Source organism: Homo sapiens, chromosome 7 (assembly GCF_000001405.40).
Source record: "Homo sapiens chromosome 7, GRCh38.p14 Primary Assembly".
Taxonomy (NCBI): domain Eukaryota; kingdom Metazoa; phylum Chordata; class Mammalia; order Primates; family Hominidae; genus Homo; species Homo sapiens.
The window spans coordinates 128,174,568-128,194,034 of record NC_000007.14 but is presented as its reverse complement, the minus strand read 5'-3'; the positions used below and the strand labels follow the sequence as shown (position 1 = coordinate 128,194,034).

At 45.7% G+C, this 19,467-nt stretch overlaps 1 annotated feature.

Moving 5' to 3' along the window:
* Positions 3,974 to 4,473: an enhancer, noted in NCBI's record as "H3K4me1 hESC enhancer chr7:127829615-127830114 (GRCh37/hg19 assembly coordinates)". NCBI's record gives its function as "activates a minimal SCP1, AML or CMV promoter by ChIP-STARR-seq in primed H9 embryonic stem cells {active_cell/tissue: H9 hESC(primed)}" and the evidence as "EXISTENCE:reporter gene assay evidence [ECO:0000049][PMID:30033119]".

The following is a 19,467-nucleotide window of genomic DNA, read 5'->3' as shown; positions in this document are numbered from 1 at the left end:
CCAATTTGTGACTTTGACTTTTTTCACTCTACTTATGATTCATTTGATGAACAGAAGTTCTTAATTTTAATGTAGTCTGATCTACCAGTTCTATCCTCTATTGCTTATGTTTTTGTGTCTTGTTTAGAAACCCTTCCTTGCCTGAGATCATAAAGATAATCTGTTATCTTCTAAAAGTTATACAATTTTGCCTTTTAAGTTAGAGTACTGAGTATACATGGAATTGAGTTTTGTGAAGAATGTGATGTATGGGCACAGTTTTATTTTATTTTCTATATTGAAAACCAATTGTCCCCACACTATTTATTGAATAGCCCAATCTATCCCAACAAATCTGCAGTGCTCTTTCTTGTCTTGAATTAGATTTCCACATATGCACTTCTCTTTATCTATTTGTCTATTCCTATACTAAGACACAGTCTTAACTGTAGCATTAAGATAGTTTTTGATTTCTGGTAGCACAAATCTTCCCTTACAAGTTCATTTTCTACCTATGACATGTTTTAAAGTTTTTATCCAATGCGCAAATTGCTTACATTTTTAGAATAAAATGTATAGGTGTAGTAAAATATCTAACTAGGTGGAAATGTTCGTGATACATAGGTTTCAAAATCAGGATACAAAACACTTTGCATAGATGGTTTTAATTTGAAAGAATTAAAAAATTTTTTTATATTCAGCATAAATTTTTTAAAAGAGGAAAGGCCATCTTCCTAAATATTAACAGTGATTCTGTCTCTCTGGTTGGTGAAATCGTGGGTACTTTCTATTGTTTTCTTTGTCTTTATCTCTATTTTCCAAATTGTCTATCATGAGCATGAGAATTCGCCATGAGAACAAAAATTAACTTTATAATTATTTTTAGGTAATGATGTGTAACAGGAAGAACAGAAACGCAAAGTGCAGGAGGGGGCAGGGCTCGTCTGGGGTGGGGGCGTGTGGGCGGGCAGGAGGCCTCGCGGCCCAGATGTCCCTTGCGGTGCCTGGGAGGACAGAGCCACCGTCACAAAAAGAAACCAGAAGGAGGAGCTAATTTTGGGGCAAGGAGGAAATGTTAATCTGGTGCTTGGATTCCTTGAATTTGAGGGCCCAATAAGGCGGCAGGGGAAGAGTCCCGCCCAGAGCCAGAGCCCGAAGCTGGAGCTCCCAGAGCCTCTGAGTTAGGGCAGGAGGATTTGAGGAGCTGAGAGCAGAGCAGAGGGACCACCAAGGGTGGAGGGGGGAGGAGAGGGGGTCCCAGGACAGCCCGCTGGGGACTGGGACGGGGCCCAGGGATGAGGAGGAGCTAGAGATGGGGAGCAGGCTGGTAATCCGGGGTCAGATTAGGAGAGTGTAATGGACGCCTGGTAGGGGAGGAGGAGGAGGACAAGGGGAAGAAGAGGGGGATGGTGGGGAGGAGGGACGGTGCCAGCCGAGGAGAGAGGGCTCTGAGGAAGGACGTGAGCAGCCATGGGGACCTCAAGAGAGCAGCTTCAGGGAAATAAACCCCCGCAGAGCCCACAGTAAGGGCTTGAGTAAGGGGAAAGGGGAAAGTCAAGGAGCCCAAGGGGTTTTGTTTTATTTAGAAGCTTCCGGGTCAGGGGAATGGAAGCTGGGAAGCTGCTGCGCGCAGCTGCTGGGAAGGGTGATGGTTGAGGAGAGCTGTTGCTGTGGGGAAGGAAGCAATGCTGGGGAAAATGATTAAAAACAGAAGAAAATGCAAGACGTTTAAGGAGTCAAGCGGGTATGGGGCCCAGGGCTTAAATGAAGCACTTGGAAGCCCATTGAAAATACTGACACATTTTGAGAAAAAACAGAATACAGTGAATGATGCTTCAATGTGGCGAGAAAGGGCTGGTGGGCTCCAATCCCGAGAAGGTGCAGTGGCGAATAATACGCCATTCACACAAGAGCTCACATTTACACAATAGCAGGCACATCTGTTCCTGGGACAGCCCATGACAAAGAAGCCATTATTTTCCCCATTTTTACAGAAGAAGAAACTGAGGTACAGATAGGTAACATGAAACATCCAGGGTTCTACAACTAGTAAGTAGCAGAGCTGGGATCTGAACCCAGACAGTAAGTCTGGCTGACATGTCTCATTCTTAACCACTACACTACGACATCCAAATGAGAATTTAGTTTGGCCACTTGTATTATTCTGTTCTCACACTGCTCTAAAGAAATACCCGAGACTGGGTAATTTAGAAAGGAAAGAGCTTTAATTGACTCATAGCTCCACATGGCTGGGGAGGCCTCAGGAAACTTATAATCACAGGGGAAGGTGAAGGGGAAGCAAGGACCTTTTCACATGGCGGCAGGAGAGAGAAAAGTGGGGAGTGAAGGGGGAAGTGCCCCTTATGAAACCATCAGATCTTGTGAGAACTCACTCACTATCACTAGAACAGCATGGGGTAAATCGCACCCATGTTCCAATCACCTCCCACCAGATTCCTCCCTCAACACCTGGGGATTACAATTCAGGATGAAATTTACACAAAGCCAAACCACATCACCACTGGAACCACATGAGTTTGGGAAGCTGGATATGCCTGGAGGAATGCCATCCCACCTCTGGGAAACGGAGACGTAATCCCTGCCCTGCCCACCACACAGGGATGCGATGAGAGCCAGGTGGGAATGAATGTCCTTTGGGAATGCTTAAGGATTCATCCGATGTAACTTGTGGTTCCTATGAATCAAATGTTTTCTCAGGATCCTAGGAACAAGGCCACCTGCTGAGGGCTCCAGCTTCTATGTGGGGACTGCAAATGGGGAGATAGAAGAGACCCAGCTGTGAGGGCCTGTGCTGGGAACAGCTGGACTTGAGCCATCCTGGTTTTGAGGCGCTATCTAATTATGCTCAGGTGTGCTAGGAGAGGCAAACAGGAAAGGGAAAAGGATGATTGAACCCCCAAAAGAAAATGATTTTTGTTTGTGAATTACCTGCTCTGGTCTACATGATGTGCAGGGCACTTCCCTCAACCATCTCATAGAATCCATCTTCAGGATGTAGCTATCACATCGGTATAACCATTTGCATTTCACAGATGAGACTAAGGCTCATGGAAGTTCAGAAACTTGCCAAAGCCATGTGGATTGTGAATGGCAGGGCAGGACTGAGATCCAGATGCAAACACACAACTCTTAGGTTAGGTCTGGTGTGGTGGTTACAGGATTGGAGGAGGGGCCGGAGGGGGAAGGGATTCTAGAGGATTCTAGAGGTCTGGAGGGGGCTTCCCTGACATGGTTAGCTGGGAGAGGCAGGATGCAGAGCGGAAGGTAAAGGAAACCTCCTTCTCTACTTGAAATGTGACCCTAGAGTAATGATTCCTAAACATTAAGGTCACAGAGTGCTTTTAGAAGCTGATAAAAATTGGACTCTCACCTCAGAAAAGATATTCAGGTTTTTTTCACATGGTATTAGGGGGTTCATGGCCCCTCCAAATCAGCCAGTCCATGCAGGAGCTGAGCCCAGGACAGGCTCCGATGACCGATGCATTGGCCAGCTCATCCCAGCCAAGTTCCTGCTTGTCTGTGTGCAGCCATGCTAATAATAGTGTAGTTTGATGGATGCATTAGGGCGTGTTGTGATGCACAGGCCAGATCCCCTTTTACAACAGAAGGACTTAGTCCCCAGCTGCTGGGAGTGCTGCCACCCTGACAGTCCTCATCCCTCCTCAGGAACTGTCCTTGACTAAAGAAAGTCACGTTATCCAAAGTCAAACCTCCTTCCCGCGGCAAACCACTTCAGCAGCTGACTCTGGAGAGCTCTGCAGGGCTGTCTCCACTTCAGAGCTTCCCTGAAGTCAGGGGAGGTCTTCACAGGGCCTGTGCTGCAGCCTAGCCTCTCCTCCTGCCCAATCCTGCTTCCCCTCCGCAGGTGTGGATCCTGAGGGCATGCCCAGATAAACCCCCATGTGCCACTCACCCTCTCAGAGAACCCAACAGTGAACACAGACTCTGCTTTAATTAGGAAAGTGACTGGCAGGGGAAATCTAAGTCTTGTCCCCTTTTTGCAGATGAGAAAACTGAAACTCAGAGATGGCCACTTGCCCAAGGTCACACAGCTGGCAATGGTGCAGTCAGGGTTTGAACCCAGTGTTTTGGAAGCCAAATCTCACAGCCACTGTACCCTTCTGGCATCTGGAGGTGGCCAGCCCCAGAAGAACATGCCAAGAAGGGGAGGTGAGGGCTCGGTCACTGTGAAATGGGGGCAGGTCCCTTGGTCCTGGAAGGCTGCGCTGTGTTCCCCAGCTTCCTGGGCACCTTCAGGGTTGGACACCTTCCCCAGCCACCCAGAGGCCAGGCACAGGCAAGGAGGAATGATGGCATCGTCTGGGCCGAGCTGCACTGCAGGCCACCTGAGCCACTCTCTCATCGATGCCCTAACTGCCTGAAGTGGAAGAGCAAGGGCTCAGGTTCTAGGTCCTGCAGGACAGCAGGTGCCCATAGGTCACACCCTCACCAGGAAGGCCACCTGCTGTCCTCTAAGGAGCCCCAGACCTGGGTGTGTGCCACCCTACCATTTACTAGCAGGGGGCTCTTGAGCAGGTCACTCGGGTCACACCCCATCCACTTCATGCCCTGGCATCATTTAGGGTGACCTCAGTGTCCATATAAAGGCCTGTTCCTGGGGCCAGCCTCCTGGGCCCTGTGCCTCCAGCTCCCTAAGGCACCCACACCCAAGCCAATTCCCTGCAGCCCCGTCCCCACCAGTCCCCTTGCTCCCAGCCTATCAGGCTAGTGGGGACATTCCCTGGCTGGGCCAGCCTGCTTGCCTGATCACCTGAGCCACTCTCCTGTCGATGCCCTAACTGCCCGAAGTGGAAGCAGGGGCTCAGGCACCCCCTGTCCCAGAATGCCCTCCACATTAGCACACACGTCCTGTTGTCCCAACATGATGTCCCAGCAGCACAGACGTTTTGTAACTGTCAAGAACGTGGCAGAGCATGGAATCCGTTACATAAGTGATCTAGCTTAAGCCATGGTGCATCCTGTTTGTTTTGTGACAGGGCAGAAATGGAAAATTTTGCCTCAAGGTGGAAATATAAAGCAAAGACAAACTATGATAGCGTCTTGCAGAGAGGCCTGCGTGCTGTGTGTGTCCTCTTCTGCTCCTTGCCGTTCCCTGGCTGACATGGGACCTGCGCAACTCCCTGGCCTCGCTGTCTGCCTTCCACACTCATCCATCAACACCCAGTCTGGATCAGCCCCACTCCCACAGTGTCTCTAAGAGGAATAATGAAAAACCTTGCAAACTGATGCCACCTAAAGCCATGGTTTTTAACCTCATTGGGGCCTCTGCACCCCCTGGCAATCCTCTGGGTTGTCCCCACTTCTCTTGGCAACTGTTTTCAATGTTCATAATCTGCCTCAAGTCCTCACCTACCAACCCTGCAGACAATCTTGCTCCCACAGCCCTGACGCCCACCAAAGCTTCCAGCTGTGCCCTGCTCTGACGTCGTTGTACCCTCTGCAGATTTAATCTATGCCACCCGCCTTGCCCTCCTTCATTCCAGAACAGTCCAGGTGATGGTTCTGTTCTCTTCCTGCTGGTGGCCCCAGGACACTGGTGTGCTGGCCCTGCTGCCGTCTCTCTCCCCTGGTGCCTCGTTGCTCTCCTCCTTCTCTCATATCCCCAAGTTCTTCCTCTTCTTGGCTACATCCCCAAAGCCTATTAATATGCTCGCAATGTCCACTTCCTCCACCCTGGGTCTCGCTAGAGTTCTGGCCCTCTCTTTTCTCCCCATCTCAGCTAAGCTTTTTGGAAGAGCAATCTATATTCTCAGATACCAACATTAGTGAGAACAAAAATAAAATATTACAAATAGAATTCAGCAGAAGAATAATAAAAATAATAACATAATGACAAAGTAAAGTTTTTTTCCAGGAATTTGAAAATTGTCAACATCGGGAAATCTCTCTCTCTCTTTTTTTTTTTTTTTATTTTTGAGACGGAGTTTCACTCTTATTGCTCAGGGTGGAGTACAATGGTGCGATCTCGGCTCACCACAATCTCCGCCTCCCGGGTTCAAGCGATTCTCCTACCTCAGCCTCCCGAGTAGCTGGGATTACAGGCATGTGCCACCACACCCAGCTAACTTTTTGGGTATTTTTATTAGAGACGGGGTTTCTCCATGTTGGTCAGGCTGGTCTCAAACTCCCGACCTCAGGTGATCGGCCCGCCTTGGCCTCCCAAAGTGTTAAGATTACAGGCGTAAGCCACTGTGCCCAGCCTTGGGAAATCTCTTAATGCAATTTATCTCATGAATAGATGAAAGGAGAAAATCATACCATCATTTGATAGAAGCCCAAAGGACATTTGATAAAATCCAATACACTTTTTTAAAAAAAATATTCTTACTAAACTAGCAATAAAGAGATAATCCCAAAGCAGGATAAAGAACAAATCTAAACCAAGAGCTAACATTATACTTAAAGATAAAACTCTGACCTGTGAATGCATAAGAATTTCCTTGATGAACGCTGTCATGAAATGTTGTTTGAAAGTGAGTTCTAGTCAAAAGAAAAATAAGGCCGGGTGTGGTGGCCCTTCCTGTATCCCAGCACTTTGGGAAGCCAAGGCATGAGGATCACTTGAGTTCGGGAGTTCGAGACCAGCCTGGCCAACATGGTGAAACCCCGTCTCTACTAAAAATACAAAAATTAGCCAAGTGTGCTGGCACACACCTGTAATTCCAGCTACTCGGGAGGCTGAGGCAGGAGAATCGCTTGAACCCAGGAGGCGATGGTTGCAGTGAGCCAAGATCGGGCCACTACACTCCGGCCTGGGAGACAGATTGAGACTTTGTCTTAAAAAAGAACAAAAAAAAAGAGACTTTTTCTTTTTTTAAAAAAAATGTGATTTAATTATTATAAAGAGGGAGTCAAAAACCCGATTTACTCCACAGAAAATCTGAAGATCAAGTGAAATTTATAATTAATAAGAGAGTTCAATAAGGCAGTTATAAAATAAATGTAGATAATTTTCTTAGCTTTTGAACACAGTGGCAACAACCAACCTGAAAATAGAATGGGAAAGAGAATTTCATTCATAGTAGCAACTAAAATATAAAATATTAGGGAAGAATTTTAACAAGAAGAGTGCAAGACCCCGTACAGAAAAGCCCTTATGCTTTACTGAATAATTTGAATTAAGAGGAGGCCATACTTTGTTTCAAGATGAGGAGACTTGATATTGTAAAAATGTCAGTCTTGCCCAAATTCACCTAATGCATTTCCCATAATTGCAATCAAAATCTCAATTGAGTTTTGAGTAGAATTTGATAAAATGAATCTCACATTAATCTGGATGAATAAGTATGAGGAAATTAATAAGAAAATGTCGGGGAAAAAGACTGAATTAGAACAGGGCACACTTGTCATACCAAGTATGAAAAAGGTATATTTTAAATCTGTAGTAATTGCAGCAGTAAAATTCTGGTGTCAGAGGAAACAGACAGATCAAAGGAGCAGAATATAAAATCCAATTGGCATTTCAAGTTGGTGAGGGAAAGAAGGTGCTGTTCAAGAAAAGGTGCTGGGATAACATGAATGCTGTTTTCTCCTCATTTGAGGGAAGGAAGAGAAGAAGGGAGGAAGGGAGGAAGGGAGGAAAGGAGGAAGGGAGGAAAGGAGGAAGGAAGGCCGGAAGGGAGGGAGGAAGGAAGGAAGGGAGGAAAGGGAAGGAGGGAGGGAGAGATACCTAAGGGGGGGATACATGTATGTGTCCTTTCAAAGGTACCCTGTATCTATACAAAATTATTTATATAGAAAAAAGTAGTCATTTGTCTGCCACGTATGCTTCTAAATATCTCTTCTCAATTTATCATAATGTAAGATCTTATATATGTGGCTTTTTTCCAGTGCAGAAGTAAGTCATTTTTATATAGTTGATTTAATTTTTTTTTTGAGACAGGGTCTCGCTGTGTCACCCAGGCTAGAATGCAGTGGCTCAATCTCAGATCACTGCAACCTTGGCCTCCTGGGTTCAAGCAATTCCCCTGCCTCAGCCTCCCGAGTAGCTGGGATTACAGGCACATGCCACCACACCCAGCTAACTTTTTGGGTATTTTTAGTAGAGACGAGGTTTCACCATGTGGCCCAGGATGGTCTTGAACTCCTGGCCTCAAGCAGTCTACCAGCCTCAAGTAGTCTATCTGCCTCAGCCTCCCAGAGTGCTAGGATTACAGGCATGAGCCACCATGCCCGGCTGATTTAATTTTTGTGTGTGTTATGGCTTCATGAGTCTTTCTTTACTCCAAGACTTTGTGTGTGTGTGTGTGTGTGTGTGTGTACAGGGGTGTTGGTGTGTGTCTATGCTCCGTGTTTTCTTCTAGTGCTTTTATGACTTCAGCTTTAACTTGAATATTTTCTCCATTATTTTGATGTAAAGAGTAATGTGGGAATCATCTTTTCTCCTAATGTATCTTCCGCTGTCCCAGCCCTATATATTGCACCACCTGTCTTTTCCCCTCTGATATGAGATGCCATTTTACGACACACTAAATTCCCACATAAATTTGGGTCTATTTCTGAGCTCTTCATTCTGTTCTGTTGATCTGACCAAATATTCCTACGTACTTCTCTATTTTAATTATGTTTTCATATATGATGAAACTGATCTCATCTCATGGGTTTTTTTTTTTTAAAGAAAACTTCCTGGATATTTGTGCATATTTATTTTTCTGTATAAACTTAAGAATAAGCTTGTCTGGTTGCAAGAAAAGAGTTATCTAGGTATTTAAGTGTAAAGCATAATTTAGAAGAATTAACAACTTTATAATACTTCGGATCAACATTTTCCAATTCAAGAATGGAGTTTCTTATTTCCATTTCACAAGTTCTTCTATTATGTTCCTCAATAATGTTTTAAAATTCTTCACATGAACCTTGCACGTTCATTGTTATTACAATTGGTTTTCACCTTCCATTGTATTTTTAAACTTCCTATTGTTTTATGTGGGAGTGCTATTAATTTGCCATATTAATTTCATATCAGAAATTGTATAGAATTCTTACTATTTATATTTTTTCCCATTGACTATCTTGGGATTTCAAGTTATGAAATCACTCATTTCATATTACTGATACAAAATTACTTCCTGTTTTCTAATTTGGTGCTTCATTTCCTTTTTCCTATTTAACTGCTTTATTTAATACTTCATGTAAGTGCTCCTTACTCTGGTGGGAGTTTCATCATATTTTTCTATAGTTTTATCATTCAGCTAGACAATGGATCTAGCTTTAAATTTAATAGAAATAGAAAAATGATTGAAACCCAAAATAGGTATTTCACAGAAAGGGAAACAAAAATGACTCAGGAATAGATGAAAAGATATTCAACCTTATCTAGGGCATTATTAGCCTGCCCTTTAAATGCTAAAATCCGGGTTTTTGTCCCTGGTCCACCATTTTTCTCAGTAGCTGCTCTTTGGGCCACTGCCCCATTGCCCAGCAAAGACTGATGGCCCCTAAGTCTACACTTCCAAGACTGACCTTTCCCCAGGGCATCTAATTTGTATCTTCAGCAGGCTCCTAGACATCTTCATGGTGTTTCCTGAAAGCACCTCAAGCTCAACATGTTCAACACTGAATCAACATCTCAACCACCAAACCTCTACCTTATTTAGTGAGTTGCCTGGTCATCTGCCCATTCCTCCAGGTAAAGCCTCCTCATCCTTTGTGTTCAATCAATCAAGTCTTGCTGTACATTTACCCTCTAAATATTTGCCTTAATTTGCTTCCCCCAACCCTCCACCCACTGTCTTGGTTCAGACCACCATATCCTCCCCTACCTGGTTGCTGCAATGGCCTCCTAAATGGATTTTCCTTTTCCATTGCTGACCCATTTAGAATCAGCTTCCAGAATGATTGCTATCAAGGTGTATTTCTAAAACCCAAATTCAATCATATCACTTTCCTTCTGATAACCCCTAAGCGGCTCCTCATTGCCACAGGGATGGAGTCCAAGTCTCTGCCAGAGTCTACATTGCTCCTGTGACCTGGTCCCACCAGCCTTCCTCGTTTTCCGGGCAGCCCATCTTGGACATCATGCTCCAGGGATACTAAAGCCTGCTAGTAATACCACACTGGTCATCTTCACCACCGGCCAGCCTCTCGGTCCAGGCTGCCTGCATCTTCCCTCAATGCATGCTGCTTGTCATTTACCACATTTGCTTTTATTTTATTTTATTTTGAGATGGAGTCTCAGTCTGTCACCCAGGATGGAATGCAATGGCGCAATCTTGGCTCACTGCAACCTCTGCCTCCCAGGTTCAAGCGATTCTCCTGCCTCAGCCTCCTGAGTAGCTGTGATTACAGGCGTCTGCCACCATACCCAGCTAATTTTTGTATTTGTAGTAGAGACAGGGTTTCACCATGTTGGTCAGGCTGATCTCAAACTCCTGACCTCAGGTGATCCACCCACCTCGGCCTCCCAAAGAGCTGGGATTACAGGCGTGAGCCACTGCGCCCGGACCGCTTTTTAATTTTATGTAGAGCTGAGGTCTCACTACGTTGCCCAGGCTGGTCAATAACTCCTGAGCTCAAGCAATCCTTCTGCCTTGGTCTCCCAAAGTGCTAGGATTACAAGTATGAGCCACCATGCCTGACCACTGAGCACATTTTGATTTGAGGTTTTTATATGTTTATCAAACCAATATGTGCACATGGTTAAAAAAAGTCAAACTATCGAAAGACTGATAATGGATAAAATCCAACCCAGGTCCATCTCTCCCATCCCAGGTCCATTGCCTGGAGGCAACCACTTTTAACTCTTCAGCTGTTTCTTTGGTATTTATTTTCATATCTCTAAATAATATATTTATACAGTTATTTCCTGATTGATCAAATGTATATGTCATTTTTACATCTTACATAAGAGAGGAGGGCTTGGTTGTATCATGCTGCCTGTCCTATTCTATCACTATCTTTGGTTAAATAATGTTTCCATTATTGTGACTATGTTAACCTTGTTGCTGCAGAATCAATTAAGGTACAAGGTTACATTTTATTTGTGTGTGTAGATTTTGATTTTTTGGTTTTCCAGGGATTTCTAATTGTCTTTATTTTACTTTTTTTCATAAGCTCCTTTAAACATTCCTCTATGCTTTGTTGAGAAGCTCTGGCACCTAGGGACTTTATCAAAAGTCTCCATCTTTTCAGGGCACTCCCTGCCATGAGCCCTCTGTCCTCAGCTCCCTATGCTCCCTGCACAGCTATCAGCCTGGGACTTCTCCCAACTGCACTCCAGAATGGGGCCATTGTCTCTGAATTTTTCAGTCTGGCTTTCTTGGCTTACTTTTTTATTTTGCTGGAACACATGATTAATAACTTCCATAAATAGGGTGCTGAGTCCTGACATATCTGAAAAGTATCTTTATTCTACCCTCATGCTTGATGATACTTTGTCCGAGTGCTGAATTCTGGATTGAAATTATTTTCTCTCTGGGTTTTGAAGGCCAGGTTGCCCTGCATTCTAGGGCCTAGTGTTGTCATTAAGAATTCTTTGGCAGGGGATGGTCGTGCATGCCTGTAGTCTCAGCTACTCGGGAGGCTGAGGTGGAAGGATTGCTTGAGCCCAGGAGTTCGAGGCTGCAGCAAGCTGTGATCTCGCCACTGCACTCCAGCCTGGGCGACAGAGTGAGACCCGATCTTAAAAACAAAACAAAACAAAGAATTCTTGTGCCATTGTAACATTTATTGGGATTTTGTATTTTCTCTGTGGAAGTTTTTTGGTTATTCTCTTTGTCTCTGATACTCTGAGATTTTAGGTTGACATGCATTGCTGTGGATCTATTTTCATTCTTTTTGCTGGGTGGACTCAGTGGACTCTTTAAAGGCCTCTAAACTTCAGGGTTGAGAATTTTCCAGTATTATGTATTTGATAACTTCCTCCCTTCAATTTTCTGTTCTTTCTGGAACTCCTATAGTCCAACATAAACCTATCAAATTGATTCTCTTTTCATTTTGATGATCTTTTCCTTTTGTCTTGTTACTCTGCTTTCTGGGAGATTTCTTCAACTGCATTTTCCAATTCTGCTAAAATTTTATCTTCCACTTTCTGGGGGATTTCCTTAACTTTATCGCTAATTCTACTGAATATTTTATTTGGGCAGCAGTCATTTTTAAAATATTTTAATTTCCAAGAGCACTTTCTTGTCCTCTGAGGTTTCCTTTTTAGTATTGTGAACATTAAAGTGAGGTTTGTTTTGTTTTGTTTTCAGTTCTTTTCTGTTTCTTATGTTGTTTCCATTCCCTCAGGGGTTTTCTCTTTGTTTTCCTCGGTCTCAATCACACTGGACTTTCCTTGGGGGTGGATTAGCTTTGGCTATATATTTATATATTTAAGAATAAGACACTGATCATGTGGGAGCTGTGTGTTCTGGAGTGGGGTTTTCTTAGGAGCTGAGGGTGGCTTTTGGGATTTCAGTGGGAGCTGGCTCAGTGGCATCCTCACATGCCTGTCCTCTGGGACAACTCAGTCATCCTGAGACGAGACTTCCAATGTTCTGGCCTAAGGATAGGGCTCTGCCTGTAAATACTGCATTTGGTGTAGGGGCTGACTGCTTTGTAAGTGGCCTTTCAAATAATCCCCTTATTCTGGTACCAGCTTGCTTTCTTGCCTTCTGCCACACCTGGCCCTTGGGGACCCCCTCTTAGGGATTCTCCAGGGGCAAATAAGTTCCTTCTTTCCCAAACCCCCTTCTTTGAGTGCTCTAAGCTAATGTTTTCTCCTCTCTGTTACACTGCTATCCCACACCTCTGCTCCACCTGCTCTTCTAGAACTTGGTAGAATCTTCATCTGCCGATGGCCTCTCTTCCTCACTGTGTGTTAATGTTTTCTTTTAAATCTCCTTCCTATAAGTCTAGAGGATGTCTTGGGAGAAAAGGGAGATGAATATGTGTTTAATTCTCCATTTTGTGGGACTGTTTCACTGCTGGCTGAGCTCCCAGGGACAACAGCTGCTTCTAAATCATCTTTGTGTCCATAGAGCTGAGCACAGTGAATGGCATAGGTCAGTCAACAATCTGTAAAATAAACATTGAACGGAATTGAACCTACTGGTCTCTCTGAATCCCTCATGCTTAGTACAGTGCCTGGATTGGCCAGGATAACAAGGAGGCACAAGAATGTCACATACAGAATGGTGAATTCTGTCTGGAGAAGAGAAGAGAGTAGTGGGGGGGCATGGGGTAAAGAGTCACTGTTATGGTTTGGATCTGTGTCCTCACCCAAATGTCACATTCAATTGTAATACCCCATGTTGGAGGTAGGGCCTGGTGGGAGGTGATTGGATTGTGGGGGTGCATCCTTCATGAATGGTTTAGCACCATCCTTTGGTGCTATTCTCATGATAGAGTTCTCAGGAAATCTGGTTGTTTACAAGTGTGTGGCACCTCCCCTCTCTCTCTTCCTCATGCTCCAGCCACATAAGATGTGCCTGCTTCCCCCTTCACTTTCCTCCATGTAAGTTTCCTGAGGCATCCCCAGAAGCTGAGCAGATGCTGCCATGTTTCTCTTACAGCCTGCAGAACCATGAACCGATTAAACCTCTTTTCTTTATAAATTACCCAGTCTCAGGTATCTCTTTACAGTTATGCAAAAATGGACTAATGCAGTCATCTACAAGTATTAAGGATATCTCATGTAGAAGAGCTGACTTGTTCTGTGTAGCCTTGAAAGGCATGACCAGGACCAGTCAGAGGTGGGAGATGCTCAATGACAGGTTCAGCTCCTTGTGTGCGATCCCTTTCTAACAGCCAGCTCCCTGATGATGGGACAGATGACCTGGAGAGGGGATGAGTTCCCTGCCCTGAAGATATTCAAGCAGAGCTGGGCAGCCAGTTGTTAGAGCTGCTATAGAGAGAATTCAACTCACCGAGTGAGAGATTGTAACGAGATCCTTTTATAACCGCCAGAATAAAAACACCCTCTTTTATAGCAAATATTTGATAATATCCTCTTATTATCCTGAAATAAAGTAACAGAGTAAAACCCTACTTTTTAAAAACTGACATATTTTTAAAAATCAATAGAATTCCCTAACTGATATATAAAACTAAAATGACATAATTTATAAGAATATGCTTTTCAACATGTAAACCTTCAGGCATGATTATGCATAATAGAATGAAATAATGACGTGCTTGCGTCTATATGTAGAATCATCATGAATGCATGTGATGCAAATGTAGACTGATACAGTGGTGTTGTTTTAATCACTCAATTACTGTTGGGAGCTTTGCCTTCAGAGATGTGATTTTCCAAAATGACACACAACTCTTAGTAAAGTTTTGACATACAATCTCTCGACTTTTCTGGAACTAACATTATGGCTACGTTTTTTTTGTTGTTAGAGACGGGGTCTTGCTATGTTCCCCAGGCAGGATTCAAATTCCTGGGCTCAAGCGATCCTCTCACCTCAGCCTTGCAAGTAGCTGGGATTACAGGCATACACCATGCTCAGTACTCCTTGATTTATATACAGAAACATTCCTAGACAATTAAACTGTTTCTGTTAACCATAGTTCACAGAGAGTCTGGACACGTTTTTACTGCTTGGCAAGGCATTCAGAAGCCATGGGAGGATAGGCACAATAGCTCATGCCTGTAATCCCAGTGCTTTGGGAGGCAGAGGTGGGGAGACTGCTTGAGGCCGGGAGTTTGAGACCAGCCTGGGCAGCATAGCAAGACCTCATCTCTACAAAAAAAAGAAAAAATTAGTTGGGTATGGTGGCATCTGTCTGTAGTTCCAGCTACCCAGGAGGTCGAGACAGGAAGATGGCTTGAGCCTGTGAGTTTGAGGTTATAGTGAGCTATGATGGTGCCACTGCACTCCAGCCTGAGTAACAGAGCCAGACCCTGTCTCTCAATAAATAAATAAAGAAGTAAATAAAGCCATGGGAGTAAGGGACAGAATTTGCTGTGCAGGATTGAATTGTGCATTGCACAAGGCCAGGCATACCTGGCCTATACCTACTAAATATGGGGAGCATTCTTCTAATTGTTGTGCCATTTTAGACATATCCCCACATATGTCCAAAATGCCTATAGGGGTCACCACTGCCTGAGAACCACTGGACTAGTTGTTCACTAAGGTCTCTTCCAACCCCGGGATCCCCGGATTCCTTCAGGAGCTGGAGAGTCAACCCTGGGGCAGGTGAGCCTGCTGGTCTCCATTCTCTACAGCCGTCTGGGCTGGAGGCTGCCTCTGGGGACACAGAGAAGAAGCTGCCTCTGGGGACACAGAGCAGAAGCTGCCTCTGGGGACACAGAGCAGAAGCTGCCTCTGGGGACATCTGTGGGGCTTCCTCCTTCCAAACAGAACTAGCCCAGCTGAGGGACCAGCAGCCCATTAGCCAACATCCCCCAGGAAGAAGGTTCATTGAGTGGGGGTGACTGCCCCTGCATTTGACCTTCCTGAGACAAAGGGCAGGGAAATTTGACCCTGAATATGGTGGCGCCAGTGGTGCTCTCACAGCACCCTTGTCCTTCCTTTCTTGCCCTTTAGTTTGCCTAATCCCCAAACTTGAGGGAAACCACCCACCTTCATTCTGCTCACCTCCTGAGCCTCTGTAGCTGGAAAAAATACAATGCAATGCAGGCTGCTGGGGCCACTGCAGACAGGGGCCCCATCTCCCACCTCTGTCCCACTCCGCAGAGGCCCAGCCACCGACTCAGGCCGCCCAGCCCAGCATTTCCTCCCAGCTGTCAGCAGACGCCTTTGTGCCTTGTCAGAGAACACTGATGGGAACAACGTCCATCTCCCTCTGCTTTCCAAGATTCATTCCTCTATGTGCTCTGAATCCCATCTACTCCCAGCGCCTGGAGATGCAGCTCTGTAGTTACCTTCTCTCCCTCTGCATCTTTAACCACTTAACTTTTTCCTCTTAGCTCAGAAACTGGCTAATGGCCTCATTATCAAACCCCATTGCTAGTCCCCATCTCCTGCTTACATTCTCTGCAGCACTTTACTCCACAGTCATGCTCTTCCTCCTGAATGTGTTTTTGTTTCCAGGAGTTCTGTTTCCTCTTCTGATCCGTTCTTTCAAGTTTTGTCTTCGCTGGCTCCTTCCCACTCTCCAACCTCCCTCCCCACTTCTCCTTTTCTTCTTCCTCCAATCCACCTTTGAATAATGTGGTCCCAGTGTCTGTTCTCCTCTCCCTTTCCCACCCTAAGTTACTCCACTCACTCCTATGGCTTCAGCAGCCCCCTGGATGCTGCTGACACCCTGATCTACTTCCAGCCTCGGCTTCTCAGCTCCAGTCCTGAATTCACAATTTCCTGCTCCACCTGTCCAGGCTCGCTCTGCCTCCAGAGTTCTGTTTTTTGTTTGTTTGTTTGTTTGTTTGTTTGTTTGAGATGGAGTTTCACTCTGTCGCCCAGGCTGGAGTGCAGTGGCGCAATCTTGGCTCACTGCAACCTCCGCCTCCTGGGTTCAAGCAATTCTCCTGCCTCAGCCTCCTGAGTTGCTGGGATTACAGGCAAGCGCCACCACGCCCAGCTAATTTTTGTATTTTTAGTAGAGATGGGGTTTCACCATGTTGGCCAGGCTGGTCTTGAACTCCTAACCTCGTGATCCACTCGCCTTGGCCTCCCAAAGTGCTGGGATTACATGCATGAGCCACTGTGCCCGGCGCTCCAGAGTTCTTTATCTCACTGAATGGTGCCACCTCCACGAAGTTGCCTGAACTACACATCTGGGAGTCATGCTCATCCTCACTCCTTCTCACCCTGTATGCAATCTGCCTAAATCCTGTGGACCTAGATCCTCTCTCAGAACCATCTCCTGAACCTGGCCCTCCTCTCCACCCCCTCTGCCATCCTCCTCATCAAGAGGCCTCTGGATTCTTTTTTTGTTTCGTTTATTTTTTCTTTTTTTTTGTAGAGATGGAGTCGCACTATGTTTCTCAGGCTGGTCTTGAACTCTTGGCCTCAAGCAATCCTCCCTGCTAGGCCTCCCAAAGCACTGAGATTACAGGTGTGAGCCACCACACACCCAGCCAGCCTCTGGATTCTTTCTGAGTCCCAACTACTGTTGTCGATGACCACCAGGTTTTCTCTATTCCAGTTCTTCCACTTTCTCTTCTAGAGTTCTCTACCACAAAGGCCAGTCTGACTCATAACATTCTTCTCCTTCTTATCTAAAGTCTCCAGAGGCACCTCATTGTCCACAGCGAATGCCAAGGCTCCTCTGAAGGACACGGGCGCCCTTCATCATCCTGTACTGCTCACCTCTCCTGCAGCTGTCCTGAGCATCTGTTACCTCTGAACATCCCAGGCCCTGCGAGACGATTCCTTTGCTTCCTAGGCAGTGAAGGGCACATTCCTGTGCTCTCTCGCACAGTGTGCTCTGCAAGCTTCCATAGGTGCTGGTATTACCCTTGTGTTATAACCAAGAGCTGTGTGCCTGCCTCACCCCTGGCTTTGTTCCTTTTTGAATACGCAGCACCCGGCGTGTGCTAGCACAGTGATACACAGTGTAGTCAGTGATTGTCAGTAAAATGACTGCATAAATGAATGAGCAGAGGGATTGGCTTGAACATTACACCCTTATTTGCCTCATCATCATATCATTCCCTAGGCCACATTTTAACAGGTATACAAATCACCTGGGAATCTTGTTAAAATGCAGATTCTAGACCAGCCTGGCCAACATGGTGAAACCCCGTCTCTACTAAAAATATAAAAATTAGCTGGGCATGGTGGTGCATGTCTGTAATCCCAGCTACTCGGGAGGCTGAGGCAGGAGAATCTCTTGAACCTGGGAGGCGGAGGTTGTAGTGAGCTGAGATTGTGCCACTGCACTTCAGCCTGGGTGACAAGAGCGAAACTCCATCTCGAAAAAAGAAAAAGAAGGAAAAAAAAAAAGAAAGAGAAAGAAAGAAAATGCAGATTCTGATTCAATGGGTCCAGGGTGCAGCCTGAGATTCTGCATTTCTAATAAGCTCTTGGGTGACCTGGTTGCTGCTGGTCTGCTGACCACACTCAGAGGAGCAAGGCCCCTATCCTGTGCCAATGGTTTTCAAACTTTGCTGAATATTAGAATCGTCTGAAGAACTTCTTTAAAATCTTAAAATTTTTTTTTTCTTTGAGATGGAGTTGCACTCTGTCACCCAGGCTGGAGTGCAGTGGTATGATCTTGGCTCACTGCAACCTCTGCCTCCTGGATTCAAGCGATTCTCTTGCTTCAGCCTCCCAAGTAGCTGGGATTACAAGTACCTGCCACCATGTTCAGCTAATTTTTGTATTTTTAGTAGAGATGGGGTTTCACTATGTTGGCCAGGCTGGTCTCAACCTCTTGATCTCAAGTGATCTGCCCACCGCGGCCTCCCACAGTCCTGGGATTACAGGCGTGAGCCACTGTGCCCAACGTTAAATTTTTCTTTTTTTAGAGACAGTCTCACTCTATCACCCAGGCTGGAGTGCAGTGGTGCCATCATAGCTCACTGCATCCTAGAACTCTTGGGTTCAAGGGATCCTCCTTCCTTAGTCTCCCCAGTAGCTAAGAATACAGGTGCATGCCACCATGTCTGGCTAATTTTTAATTTTTTAAAATAGAGATGGGGGTGCAGGGGATGTTGCCCTGGCTGGTGTCGAACTCCTGGCCTCAAGTGATCCTCCCCCCTCAGCCTTCCAAAGTGCTGGGATTATAGGCTCAAGCCACCACGTCTGGCCAAAAGCCTGATTTTTACACTAATCAAATCAGAATGTCCGGGGGAGGGAGCAAGCTGTCAGTATTTTTAAAGATCCCCCATGATTCCAATGTGCAGTAAGGTCTGGGAGCCCCTGGCCGACGCCATCTCTCACTTCCTCAGTGATGACCCTTAGCCCTGTGTGCTCCTTAGAATCATCTGGGAGCTTTCACTACCCACTGGTGCCTGGCAGCACCCAGATGAACTAAATCAGAATCTCTGGAGGTTGAACCTGAGCATTTGTAAACCTCCCTAAGTGATTCTCATATGCAGCCAGGGTGACAGCCTTTATTTGCAGGCTCTACCTCCAAGGAATGGCCACAGATATGAGAGATCATGACTCCAGAAGGAAGAGTAAGTGTGAAGTCAGGCCTGAGGCTCTCTAGCTACGCACTGTGTCATCTCAGAGAAGTTAATTTAGCCTCATCTCCAAAATGAGATTTAAAATTCACGCTCCCACTTCCTTACCCCAATTTTAGTGGAGATGTCTGGAAGTCATGAAGCCCCAAATGGAATTTGGACGAGTACCCACATAGGAGCCTGTCTTCACCTCCCCGAAATATGGAGGACATCACTGCATCCCAACCCATCAGGTTGGCTTCAAACGCCAAACGCTGGCAGGAAAAGTTCCTATCATGCATGAACTCCCAGCTGCAAGCCCAGCTAGGGAGCAGATGGTTCAGTAACAGCCCAGGCCACCAAAGGGGAAGTCACGAGGACTTGCATTTGTCGGCAGACTGAGAGGTGGAATCAAACACAACCCCTGCAAAGCAATCTGGCCT